At 39.0% G+C, this 14,070-nt stretch overlaps 1 protein-coding gene across 19 annotated transcripts in view; it reads left to right on the top strand.

The window, feature by feature from the left end:
• Positions 1–14,070, top strand: part of NCKAP5 (NCK associated protein 5) — a 1,003,049-nt gene that overhangs the window by 669,703 nt on the left and 319,276 nt on the right. For all 19 annotated transcript variants that reach the window (XM_017003975.3, XM_011511100.4, XM_047444134.1 and 16 more), the window contains one exon: positions 10,895–10,982. In XM_017003975.3, coding sequence (XP_016859464.1) covers positions 10,895–10,982 — 88 coding nt within the window. The remainder of the gene's footprint in view (positions 1–10,894; positions 10,983–14,070) is intronic.

Below are 14,070 nucleotides of genomic sequence, written 5' to 3'. Positions count from 1 at the left end.
CCTCAGGACCCTGTGATGATTGTGTTAACTGCAAAAATTGTTTGTAAAACGTGTGTTTGAACAATATGAAATCTGGGCATCCTAGAAAAGAACAGGATAACAGTGATTTTCAGGGAACAAGGGAGATAACCATAAGGTCTGACTGCCTGCGGGGCTGGGCAGAACAGAATCATATTTCTCTTCTTGCAGAAAGGGAATAGGAGAAATATTGCTAAATTATTTTCCCAGCAAGGAATAACCCTGAGAAAGGAATGCATTCCCAGGGGGAGGTCTCTAAAATGGCTGCTCTGGGAGTGTCTCTCTTATGCGGTTGAAGATAAGGGGTGAAATATGCCCTGGTCTCCTGCAGTGCCCTCAGGCTTGCTAGGTTTAGGAAATTCCAGCCTGGCGAATTCTAGCCATACCGGTTGTCTACTCTCAAACCCTGTTTCCTGTTAAGAGGTTTATCAATGACAATACGTGCCCAGTGGGACATGGAACCTCATCATTAATTCTAATTTCACCCTTGCCTTGAGATCTTGCTCTGCCGTTTGCCTTGTGATCTTTTATTGCCCTATGAAGCATGTGATCTCTGTGACCCACTCCCTATTCGTACACCCCTCCCCTTTTGAAATCCCTAATAAAAACTTGCTGGTTTTGCAGCTCAGGTGGGCATCATGGAACCTGTCGACATGTGATGCCCACCCCCAGAGGCCCAGCTGTAAAATTTCTCTCTTTGTACTCTTTCTCTTTATTTCTCAGAGCGGCCAACACTTAGGGAAAATAGAAAAGAACCTACATTGAAATATTGCAGGCTGGTTCCCCTGATAAATAATTATAATTATTACATTAATTTAAAACCTGGCTGTATTTAGGGAAATAACCCATTTTGTAGACCTGTTGTGCATTATCTGGATATAGTGTCAATCCTGATTTCAAACTGTTAACCAGGCAAGTAAAAGCCAGTGAGGTGTATTTCTCCTTTGTGGCATTTACTTGCACATGTGAGATATTCTTTCTCCCTCCCCCTCTCTTTGTGGATGAGTGTGAACTCTACAAACACATGAATCCATAAATGCAATTTTGTATTCTGCCACTGTTGAGCAAAAACACTTGAGATTTGTTTGCTAACATTCAGGGGAGTTCCTTCTACTCCATGTGCAAAACGGGACTTCTCTGAGTGCCCATCTCTGCTTCCCTGCCCTCTCCCAATCGGCCTCTCTCCGTGCAGTTAGCTCCCCAAGCAGGATCAGTGCAAGCCTGCCTAGGAGAAAATTTATGTCACTTTCTCTTCACATAGAGATGGCCCTGGAGTGAATATGATGCAGTAATTCAAATTGGACTAGCATCTTTCGATCTGTTTATGAATGCTCTTGCATCCTCATGAGTGAATTAGAGTGCTGTGGTTTCTGTGCAGTGCTGTTATTCTTGCAAAATTTGTGCTGAATTAAAAATATATATCATCTAGGAAAGAAGTAAGAAACTCCAGTCCTCCAACATTTATCCAGAGTAAGTTTCTGTTTCAGTGCAGTTTTCAGTTATGTTCACTGTAGATTTACTGTTCCTAACTATTGCAGCGAGGATAAGCAGAGATTGGGTTAAGAGCATCCAAGTGACAACCAACCTGGGGATTGTTCCTGCTTACGTGCTTAGATGTCCTAGCTTCTAAGGGAGGAAATTCTCATTTCTAAGAAAACAAGTGGCGCAGTTGGGCAGAACCCAGTTCTAAACCAACATTTTCCACATGAACAATTTGCTCTTGGAATTGAAAATTAGTCAGCTTTCCTTTAGACTCACAAACCTGAGGGAAGCTTTGCATTGCAATTAAAATGGGAAGGTAGGATAGTTTGTTGAGGAAGGCAATGGAATTAGAATGAGAAATAGAAACTTAAAAGCAAATTATATGGGAGGCAATGCAAAATATGTTCTTCATTAAGGTAATTGTCCTATCCTCTCTCTCCCAAGTAGGAGAGCAGTGGGCTGTCTTGGCAGAGATTAGTCTGCCAGGAGCCGACAGTGGTAAGTTAGGGATTGAATCTAGAACCTTTCCTCATTAAGGTAATGTTCTAAACACCATAGCTAATTAGCTGAGTTGAAGCATACAGACATTCAACGTAACAAAAAGAACAGTTAGATATTTGGTTTGTTTTACATCTGACCAGCGGACTTGCATCTTAGCTGCATGTGAAGACATAGCCCCTTCAGTCTTGCTGGCATTTCTCACTGTATCTACTTCTCTGACTAGTCGCATGCATACATAGGTCTATGGGAAGTGAAAATGTAAAGATGCAGGGAATGAACAAGGGTAAAAAATCCATTAGGTTCAATCATTCACTCCACAAAGAATTTATCAAATATCTACCCAATAACTAAGCTTTGCATAGTTCCTATGGATAGCATAAACAACAAGGAGGAGTCAGTGACCTCAGGAGGAGAGCTCAGAGTGTTAAGAAAACATGAAGGGAGGGTTTCCTTAGGCAAGGGACGGGTCAAGGCTTGGCTCTGTGTTTTCTGTGGCATTTCGGTGGAATTGAGAGTACCCAGTGGGCAGGACATATATTTCCATGAATAGCTGGTCTTAAATGCTTCAACAGGTAAATAACAGTTGTTATAATGCACAATAGTTTCCCCTTTTCTGAGGTTTCACTTTCTACAGTTTTAGTTACCTGAAGTTCAACCAGTTAAAAATTGGTGAGGACCGTACAATAAGATATTTTGAGAGAGAGGGAGAGACCACATTTACATAACTTTTATTACAGTGTGTTGTCATAATTATTCTATTTGATTATTAGTTGTTATTGTTGATTTCTTAGTGTGCCTAATTTGTACATTAAACTTTATCATAGACATGCATGTACAGGAAAAGGAAAGTATACATAGAGCTTTGTAGTATCCAGGGTTTTAGGCATTCACTGGGGGGATCTTGGAACATATCCCCCATGGCTAAGAAGACTACTGTATCACTGTGCATAAAGCCTGGATCTAGAAGAATTTTGATCTGATTGGGAGAAAAGATTGACTAATGCAAAAACAGTCATCCCTCAGTTTCCATGGGGGATCGATTCCAGGACCCCTCGTCAGATACCAGAATCTGGGGATGCTCAGCTTTCTTATATAAAATGGTATAATACCATATTTTCATATAATCTACACACATCATCCTGTATACTTTGAATCATCTCAAGATTACTTTTAATACCTAATACGACGCCTACACTTCATTCATGTGGATTCAATGTAGTACTCAGTGCATGGCAAATTCAAGGTTTGCTTTTTGGAACTTTGTGCAGTTTTTTTTTCCTGAATATTTTCAGTGTACAACTGGTCAAATCCACAGATGCAGAACTCACAGATACGGAGGGCTTAACTGTGCAGCATTTGCAAGTAACGAGAACCCATCAATCCAGATGTTACCACGTGATAACAGTATAGCAGAAAATGTTGATACCCAGCCAAGTAAATGCCAGGGTGGTTTAAATATTTGAGTGAATGCTGATGTGGCACAGTAGAAAAAGATTACAAGTTTGGAGTCAAACAGTTCCAATACCAGCTCTACTATTACTGGGAGTATCATCTTGAATGAGTTCCTTATTCTCATGGAACCTCAATGTATGCATTTTTAAATAATTGAAATGAAATATTTTTGATGCATTTCAAAGTAAGTCTACTGTAATCCCAGCACTTTGGGAGGCTGAGGCATGAAGCTCAGGAGTTCGAGGCCAGTCTGGGAAACATGGCAAAACCCTGTCTCTCCGAAAAATACAAAATTTAGCCAGGCATTGAGGGCTCGTGTCTTTAGTTCCAGCTATCTGGAGGCTGAGGCTGGACAATCACTTGAGCCTGGGAAGCAAAGGTTGCAGTGAGTCGAGATTGCACCACTGCAACCTTCCAGCCTGGGTGACAGAGTGAGACCCTGTCTCAAAAAAAAAAAAAAAAAAAGTAAGTCAAAGGCATATTCCCAAGGTGTACATATATATCAATAACTGGAGTTCCATATGTGTTTACAGTTCTCTTTTTTTGATAAAATTTACATACAATGAAATACATAAATCTTAAATGTAACATTGGCTGAATTCCAACAAATGCATATAACCTGTGCAGTCCAAATCCCTATAGAGTTACAGAACATTACTCTTATCCCAGGAAGTTCCTTTATATCCTTACCAGTCAATCCCTGCCACCACCCAAGGCAATTGCTATTCTTAAATTTTCCACCATAGACTAATTTTGCCTATACTAGAACTTTGTATAAATGAAATCATACAGTATTTTGTCTTTTGTGTGTGGCTTCTTTAACTTAGCATAGTTTGTGAGATTCTTCAATGTTGCTGCATACATCAGTTACTCCTTTTGATTGCTGGTATATATTCCACTGCAGGAAATGCATAGGATAGTTGTATGTTGATGGACACCTGTTTTGAATTTTTAAAATTAAAAAATTTAAAAATTTTAGAAATCCATCATAAGAGACTAGGGTTAGGATTTAAACTAGGGTTTTGGACAGTAATTAATGCTAGTCATATTGTGGAGGTTCAAGCAACGACTAGTTTGGTTATATACAAATAAATGAATTTTGTTTGTCTTGAACATCCAAAGTGAAGTATGTGTTGATATTTAACCCTACTACATAGGCATCCAATATGAGGGAGCTAGTATTTTATTGCAAGTATTCCTTCTTTTCCAGCCAATATGGGAAGTATGCTGGTCCTCTTTGTTGCCATTGGCTCTAGAAGATGAGCATTGTTCTCTACATGGGGCTGTGTTGTGTCAGGTTTCCTAGGAGGGAAGCCTAGGGTAAGGGAGGGATGCTTCAAGGACCCCATTCCCCCTGCCTCTTTCTAATTTAACTGCAGCCTCTTTCTTCCTGTCATTAAATGAAGTTCAGTCATGGTGGGACCCTTTCTTAAATCGACACAATTTCTCAAAGTGAGAAGTTTGGGAGTCAAATACAATGAAACACAAAGAAAAGCAATTTGCAAGTTTCAGCAGCAGCTCTTGACAAACTTCATGGCATGGGGGAATCAAAGGGAATGTGGCGGGCACTTCTTGCACCCTCTCACCTGACTAAAAGAATATTAAGGAATATTGAATAATTTCATGGTTAATTTCATTATTAAGTAGGTATTTGATTAATCAGCAAGTAAACATGTTAAAATATTTTCTAAAAACAAAATTTAATTTGGTTCAGCCTTCAATTGAATGAACCCTATCAGTTATCAGTGTGAGTTGGGGAGAATAACTTCTTGAGTGGCTTCTTGTTTTCTGTTCTTTTTTATTTCTGTCAAAAATGAAGTTAGTCTCAACTAAATAACTGAATATAGGGGTGAAAAAGAACAATTTGGTGTAATAATTGGATCAGTCCCTAGAGTGTCATTAATCAAAACAGAGGGCTAGATTTTGGGTTGGGGTTGGAGGGAAAGCATGTGAAAAAGCCCACAGTCATTTACATGTTGGAATAATCAGCTTCTAATGTAGCTTGGAGCCATATTTTCCAACACTGCTTTCATTATTGAATAAGTCCAGGTCTTCAAAGTCCAATCCATAGTCTCTGATTACAAAGAAGGCCTTTGATATTATCAAGTGTTGTCTTACCATGAAAGAGTTCAGAAAACCACTGTGTTTTAACATTTTCTTTCAGAAAGATCTTCCTTTGGTGTCTAGACGGACCAGCTCTTGAGACACTGGAAACAGATCCAGTGACAAGTACCCCAGTGGTCCGTATTTTAAAAGGAGGTCAATGACAAAGGTGGTCCCCTGGGAACTGGGAGAGAATTTAGTTAAAATGGCTCACTGATCCTGCTCTTTGGTGCTTTTGAATTGTTACTCTTCTCATGCATTAGTTTTAATATGCAATTTCCCTAATTTTAACTTAGTGCCCTTCTTAAGCAAGGTTTTTGCTTCTCCCAGAGGAAACAGTGTAATAAGAATTTATTGATTACATAGTGTGTACCTTAAAAAATGGAATCTATTTTAATAAAATAAAATGCCTGCATTTATACCTAATGTTACCTGAGACATACTGTTTGCATATATGTATTTAGTTTGTTTCCTCTGGCTGTCCTAGGAGTTAACTTTTTAAAAATAGTTCACTTGATGTACGTTAGAATTTATTACAACTCATTAAGTATAATTTTGGTTTCTATATTTTTAGTTATGGCAGCTACTTGACCAATATTTAGGGGAAAAAATGGTCTTAGTTTCAGGTGGGGGAAGGAGATGGAGAGCTAGAAGACATGAATTAAGGTGAGTGTTTAAGGATAAATTGCAACCAGCTATTTAATAAACAAACAAACAAAACACACAAAACTCTGCCCAAGCCTGAACCAGAGGGAGAGGGAGGAATTGGCTTATTTCTTAATCATATTGGGGAGACAGATGGTGGAACTGTACTATGTGCTGGCTAGTAATGCAAACTTTCATTCATTAGCCGTCGAAATAATAAAATGAAGCAAAATGTAATTGGGCGTCAAACAACAATGGAAGATGCTTTAGTCTTTGATTTTTGATTTTTGGGAAAATAGAGAAGTTTGTTAAATAAGAATTTTTAAAAAAAGATGTCATCAGGGAGTAAATAATGGCATATTCTTATCAGGTTTATAACATTTTCTCTGTGACATGATTCATAGAGGTTATAAAAAGATAGGACAACTTGATTTTTTACCAAGGGTTAGGATGGGGCCCTGTGACTCTGTTCCAAGACTTGGGTGGGAAATGTAATTGGTTTTGATTAATCATAAAGTAGTGCCAGAAGAGTGTTTACCATATTACTAAGGGTTCTGAACTGCTCAAGATTGTTTTAACAATTTCCTGTCCACCCCCACTTTTTCCTATTTTTTAAGTATAAAGCCAAGAAAAATGGGGGAAAGGTGAATAGATATTTTTCTTTTTGATCCAGCAACTTGTGTTTATAGCTTGTAATTTTACAGAAGAGATAATTTAGCAAGATATGCATTGAGACAAGATTGTGTTTTAACTTAGTAAAAAATAATATGATTTCATTTTAACCGAGTTCTAACTATTTGGCCACTTTTAAGTCAGATGTTTAAAAATGAATGCAATAAGGATTAAAAGAAGACATCCAGCTTCTGTGCTAAGGTGGGAAGAAAGTAGACTAATATTTAGAAAACCAGGATACCAGGCCTTTACCTGCCAGGAACAAGCTGAGTGATCTTGGGCAAGTCTTAGGACCATTGTCATTACTTCCTTGTTTATGATAGTTCGGCAAACATGATGGAAAATCTGATACCACTCAAGAGCTTGTTTATATAAAATGAAATCAAGTATTAGCAATGGGTTCTGATCACTTATTATTTCAGAATTTGTGACTTCTTTGCACCGATTTTTTTTTTTCACATAAGCTTAGTTTTTCTCATGCTCTCCCCAGGTCAGAAATGGTATTGTTGCCTTCTTGGGTTCATCCACCAAAGTTGTTCTCCAAGGTAACTCCTAGTTAGGAGTTAAGACTCTTACTCATTTAAAACCATTTTCCTGAATACCAATAAGGTCAAGTAGAAAGAGGCTGCTGTATTTAGAGTCAGTAAAAATGATTTCATCCAAACTCCCTATCCAACTAACCATGATCTCTTAAGCAAACCATCTAACCTTTCTGTACCTTAGGTTTCTCATCTACCAAATAGATAGAATGATTTTTTAAAAGTAAATTATAATGATGAACAGATGAGACAGTTCTTTGTCAAGTTAAAAGTACTATTAGATTGAGTTATTATTAATAACATAAGATTTGTGAAAATATAGGGAACAGCTTCTGCTTTCTCAGCTGGATACATGCAGAGGTGGCTTGTATAAATGTGTGGTCACAAATCATTTTTAGAGTACTCGTAACCAGCGCCCACCATCTTCCTGAAAACCCAAATGAGTCCTTGTGCCATCCTCTGTAAAGGCAGAATTTCTCCAATTAATAATCTAGGTCTGGCCTGTCCCAGTTGTCTGCAGTTTCCTCACTCTGCTGCTGAGTAGTTACGTGCCATATTAGAAAGGTGGCATTTTGAACTGTCTTATCCTGCCTACTGCAATGGGCTTCCTACATCAGCGGATTCACTGGTCTCCTAGAGCCCTTAATTTGTCATACGAGAAGCCCTTAGTAAGAGGGAGAAGCTGGATCAGCCTGCTTTTCTTCACAGTTCTCTTCAACCAGTGTCATACTGAGTCACTCAAATACATGCTTCAAGATGGGCCTGGAAAAGATAACCAGTTCAGGTTCTGGACAGAGAGCATCGTGTTCAGGGCATTGAGTTCAGGCTTCTTGCTCCCAGAGTTTGGGTCTATGAATCTTCATGGTGGGCCCCAATGACAAGGTCATCCAGACACAGTCTGAACATACAGGATGAGTGTCTGGCATAGAGTAACTACTTCACACTTTAAAAAATGAATTAGCAAAGGATTCATACAATAATGTCTAGTGAGTATGTATTTTATCTACAGTTGAGAGAGATACATTAGAAATATATGGCATAGTCCTATACCAAATGTTGTCATTTATTCCAGAAGATAAGACCTGCATATACAAAATATTTGAGCATTAAAGTGAAGGATTTTTAAGTGATAGAGTAAATGGTTTGAAGTATAGGGCTATAAGAATTCAAAGAAGCAGGAGATCAATGAGGAGTTATCTTAGGAAGTGAAACTTAAGGTAAATTTGAAAAGAGGGTTGAAATATAGGAAGATGAAATGGAGGGGGCATTCTAAGAAGTATCACCAGCATAAGCAAATGTCTGGAAATGGGAATGGGTGTGTTTCCTTTACTCTTTACTTTGAGCTAATGGGGAATCACTGGAGGTATACATTTAAAACAAAACAAGATTATAACATGTAGTATATAATTTGTAGAAATACACATGTGTATAAAGAGGTATGTGTAAAGATGTTGATTGTTTGGAATAACAAAAATTTTGAAGTAATTTAAATTTCATAAGTAGGGGAATCTTAAGTAACTTACATTCTCAACATGACATACTAGGAAGCACATTCATGTGCCACATAATGATATTTGGTCAACTGTGGACTGGATGCAAAACTGTGGTGTCTTAAAACTATAATGGAGCTGAAAAATTCCTGTTGGCCGGTGACATCCTGATGATCCTGACCCTGCGTAGGCCTAGTCTAATGTGTTTGTTTGTGCCTTAGTTTTTAATAAAATAATGTAAAAAAAATTTTTTTTTTGAGACAGAGTTTTGTTCTTGTTGCCCAGGCTGGAGTGCAGTGGCACGATCTCAGCTCACTGCAACCTCTGCCTCCCGGGTTCAAACGATTCTTGTGCCTCAGCCTCCGGAGTAGCTGGATTACAGGCACCTGCCACCACACCCGGCTAATTTTTGTATTTTTAGTAAAGATGGGTTTTCATTATGTTGGCCAGGCTGCTCTTGAACTCATGACCTCAGGTGATCCACTCACGTCAGCCTCCCAAAATGTTGGGATTATAGGGGTGACCCACCGTGCCCAGACAAAAATGTTTTTTGTTTGTTTGTTTGTTTGTTTGTTTGTTTGTTTTCAGATAGAGTCTCTGTCGCCCAGGCTGGAGTGCGGTGGTGTGATCCTGGCTCACTGCAACCTCTGCCTTCCAGGTTCAAGCGATTCTCCTGTCTCAGCCTCCCGAGTAGCTGGGATTACAAGAGTTTGCCACCACACCCAGCTAATTTTTGTATTTTTAGTGGAGATGGGGTTTCACCATATTGGTCAGGCTAGTTTCAAACTCCTGACCTCAGGTGACCCACCCACCTCAGCCTCCCAAAGTGCTGAGATCACAGGTATGAGCCACCGTGCCCAGCCAAAAAATGTTTTTTAAAACAATTTTTAAAAACTTATATACTAAGGACATACAGAAAATATTTTATATAACTTATACATGTTTATGTTTTAAGATAAATGTCATTACAAGCATCGAGTTTTTTAAAAATTTAAAAGTTTATAAAGTAAAAATTATAGTAAGCTAAGGTTTATTATTGAAGAAAGAAAAATATTTTTTATAGATTTAGTGCAGTGTAAGTTTGCAGTGTTTAGAGTGTACAGTGTTCACAGTGTACAGTAGTGTCCTGGCCTTCACATTCACTCACTCCTCACTCACTGACTCACCCAGAGCAACTTCCAGTCCTGTGAGCTCCATTCGTGGCAAGTGGCCTATACAGGTGCACCATTTTAAGTCTTTTATATGGTATTTTTCCTGTACCTTTTCTACATTTAGGTATGTTTAGATACACAAATATTATTGTTTTATAATTTTTCTACAGTGCTCAGGACATTAACATGTTATACAGGTTTGTAGCCTAGGAGCAATAGGTAATACAATATAGCCTAGTTGTGTAGTAGGCTATCCCATCTGGGTTTATATAAGTACACTCTATGCTGTTTGCAAAATGACAAAATCACCTAATGATGCATTTCAACATTTCTCAGAACGTATTCCTGTTATGAAGCAATGCATGACTGTAGTTGAGAAGAATGAAGTAAATCTTTACGTGCTGTCATAGAAAGACCATCACAGAAAGACCTGACAGTAGATTAATGGGAAGAGTGCATTCCTATAATATGTGTTAACTTTGAAAATTGGTGTTTAAAAATGAAAGTGGTTTTTTGGGAAGATTGATGTAGTGATACTGTATCAAATTAAAAAGAAGTGATTGGAAATGAAGAGGGATATTGGGAGATAGGTGCATGAGTTTAGATGTCCAAGTATAAAGAGGCAGACCTGAATGGTAGAGAAAGAGAATGTAGAGGCATCCCAAAGAATGGTTGCAAAGGACTTCATGACAGATAACTGATAGAAGATGAAGTAGAGAGAAAAGAGATTTCCAGGTTGAAGCTTGGGAAATACGCATAGAAGAGTGATTTCTACAACTCGAGTGGATCCGTGTTAATTAGAAACCTTCTTTAAGAAATTCTTAATATTTTTGTTTCTCAGGATGGAAGAAACAGTACGAAATCTATTGCAGAGTCAAGGATCTCCAGAGCAGAAAAAAGAAGAAACTGTTAATATAATGGTCTATCAGGTACACCATGTTTATTATTCTTGGCTGGGTACTGGTCTGCTTGTTTTTCTTGTATTTCTCTAGGTTTGTCCTCTCTAACCCAGAGATAAATAAAAGGTGTGTTCCAGACCCCAGTGCTAAAAGCCACCTAGTCACCTCTGTTTTGAGGAATCATACACGTTTATTCAATTCATTCATTTCATAAACTCCTACTGTGAAACAGAGTGTAGATTTGATTCTAGAAGATGCAAAAAATAAGTTTGTGGTGAATGAGAGAGACTTGTATAGGCATTGCAGTACTCTGTGGCCAGGACTAAAAGAGAGGTGTGTACAACATTCTCTGGGAGCACAGGAGAGAGAATGCCTCATCTTGGCTGAGGAGGTGAGGAATAAATACTTGCCAGAGGTGTGACATTTAAGGTGGGCCTGTGGAATAGAGAACTCCATGAAGGGCATTCCAGGTAGAAGGGACACCTAGGTAAAGTGCAGTGGTGTGAATCTTCACAGCAGGCTTGTGGAGAATAAGCATCTCCAGATAATTAAGTAATGTCCTGGAAATAAAAAGTTACAGTGAGACTGAGAGTACAGGGAAGAGCTGGATGGGGTCTGGGGTGTATGCAGTCCTCCTGGGTCTGGCCTTGCATCTCAGGCAACAAGGAGTCTAAAGAGGTCCAAAGAGAGTAAGCAGTCAGTGAAATAACAGGTCTTTGTCTTCTTCTGATAGCCCTTATCCCACTGTCCTTTAACACCAGCAAAGCTGCCAGGCCAGGAAGCAGGACATCTAATCTGAGTATGGTCCAGATTGCCTGTACAGATGAGAAGGCTGTGGTATGGTGGAAAAGGGAAATACAATAGAAACAGCACAGACACTGTATATAGATAAATTTAGGACTTCTACTGAAAATCACTTCAAATCACAAATAGAGACCCAGCATCCACTGCACAACTATGTATGAAAAGCTTTAAAAAGCAAGGACATTGGTGGAAATGTGAGGTCATCACTGGGCAGCCCTAGGTTTTTGCTGGCTAAAAAGCCAGTGGGTTTGAGAAAGCAAGCATAGGAACCCAGCTGATTAGCATAATGTGGCATTAGCTTACCTGAATTTGTGGGCTCTGCAACCCAACTGGTTGTGAAAAGGGATTGGGAGGAATATGTTAATACAAGTAAAAGTATCAAAGTAAGTTAAGAAATCTGGCCACAGTTAACCTTAAGAGGCGAGGCTGTATCCTAAATTGTTGACCCTTGAAATCTACACAGGGCTACTTCAAGAAGGTAGTAAGAATTCTTTCCCATGTGCAGTGAATATAATGCAAAGAGTTGACTTAAGCTACCTCAGAAGAAATTAAAGTTAGCTTCATAGAGACAGTGGAAAAATCACTAAGATCAATTTCTAGGGAAAGGGCTTAGATTCTTCTTGAGAGGGTGGTCTTGACAAAGGGAATGCATGCTCAGCGTTTCCTGATATGTGGCCACCTAAAGAAAGGGAAAAAATTTTAGTCCTCCTAGCTCTGAATTCTTCATAGATATTATAACTGCTTTGGTACAAAGTTGAGGTGTAAGTAAAAAATGCGACTCGATTCTGCATTGAATGGTTCGATGCAGCCTGAAAGGGTCATATGAATCTGTGAAGTAAATTATTTGTTCCCCATCACATGTAACACCTGGCTTCATTAAAACTAAATAATCAGGCATCATTCTTAGGCTACATCTGATTTCTTCATGGTGGATCTCTTTCATTCAGATTCATATTTTCTTTTGCTTATTCTCTTCTGAGCTCTTAAACAATTATTAGCCACATCTGTGGTGTAGACACTTAACATCATCAGCAGCATTCATTTTGCGAAACGGAAAGCTGCTTAGAAAAACAGATATGCTTTAAGAAACGTGTTTTAAAACTATTACCTCTCCATAACCCAGTCTATTCGTTTTGGGAAATGAACTCTTCCCTGTAGGGAGAAGACAGTCATTAACTTGAATTAATGTCACATGATAGGGATATTTCAGTCATTCCTTTAATTGGCCTCAGGCTCCTTATCTGTAAAATGGGAAAGGGAGGTGGGTTACATGAACTGTAAAGGTCACTGTGCATTTAACAAACACTTACTGAACTTCTCATATGCACTAGGGACAGCCTTGTGCCCTGGGCATTCAAGAAACGAGAAAAGAGAGAAGGGCAGGTGATGCTGGGTGGCGCCAAGTCCCAGGGAGATCCCCTTCATCTCACAAATTCTATTTTTCTAAATAAGGCTAATAGCGGCAAAATAGTTTATGCATGATGTATGCGTGGTGATACTAGTGGAGCACATAGTTAACACCTCCCTGCGGCCAAATTCTGCGTTTCAGGCAAGAGCTGGGAAATTTATTGCTTCATAATATGGGGTGTCATTAGCACACCTGTCTCAGATTTTCCAACTTGCAAGATTTCTCTGAAAGGAGCCAGAGGCCCACGTAAAGCTTAGGCCCCTGGGAAAGCTGGAGTTACTTTCATTTTCCACTGCGGTAGCAGTGTTTGTTCTGAGTCTTTTATCATTGAGCTAATATAATAATAGCAGAGTAATAGCTTTCTGTGTTCCAGGCCCCTGCTAATTGCTTTGCATGCATTAAAGGTAGTCATATTTTGTTCAGGGGGTGTGTTCCCAAAGGCCTTTCATAATTTGTTGCTTGTGTAATTTATAGCTTGCATAATTCAACATGGATTCTCTCAAAGGACAATGGGTGTTTTCTGTTCAGCAACTGAGACGGTCCCACTATGTGGTAATCAGAGGTTTACAATTTACCAGCTTTGCCATTCCTGACCTTTTTTTAATTGGGGAATTTGCATGATTTCAAGTTTTGTGCATGAAGTGACATTAATAACATTTTCATGTGACCACAGTTTCAAATTTACCTAGTTCAGAGCCCCATCAAATGTGACTAGACTGTAGCTCATTCAGTCTCCACAACAATTTTGTGCAGGAGGTGCTGGCACTATCCCTGTCTTACAGATGTGGACATAGGCTCAGAGAGGCAAGTGCTTGCCTGAGGATGTACAATCAAGAAGTAGCCTAGAAGAGTTTTGAACCCTGGTCAGTCTGATTCCACAGCATTAGCTCTTATGCTGAGGACTTC

The sequence above is a fragment of the Homo sapiens genome, chromosome 2 (assembly GCF_000001405.40).
Source record: "Homo sapiens chromosome 2, GRCh38.p14 Primary Assembly".
In the NCBI taxonomy this organism is placed as follows: Eukaryota; Metazoa; Chordata; class Mammalia; order Primates; family Hominidae; genus Homo; species Homo sapiens.
Note: the sequence above shows the minus strand (reverse complement) of the source record. Positions and strands in the feature narration are given on the sequence as shown.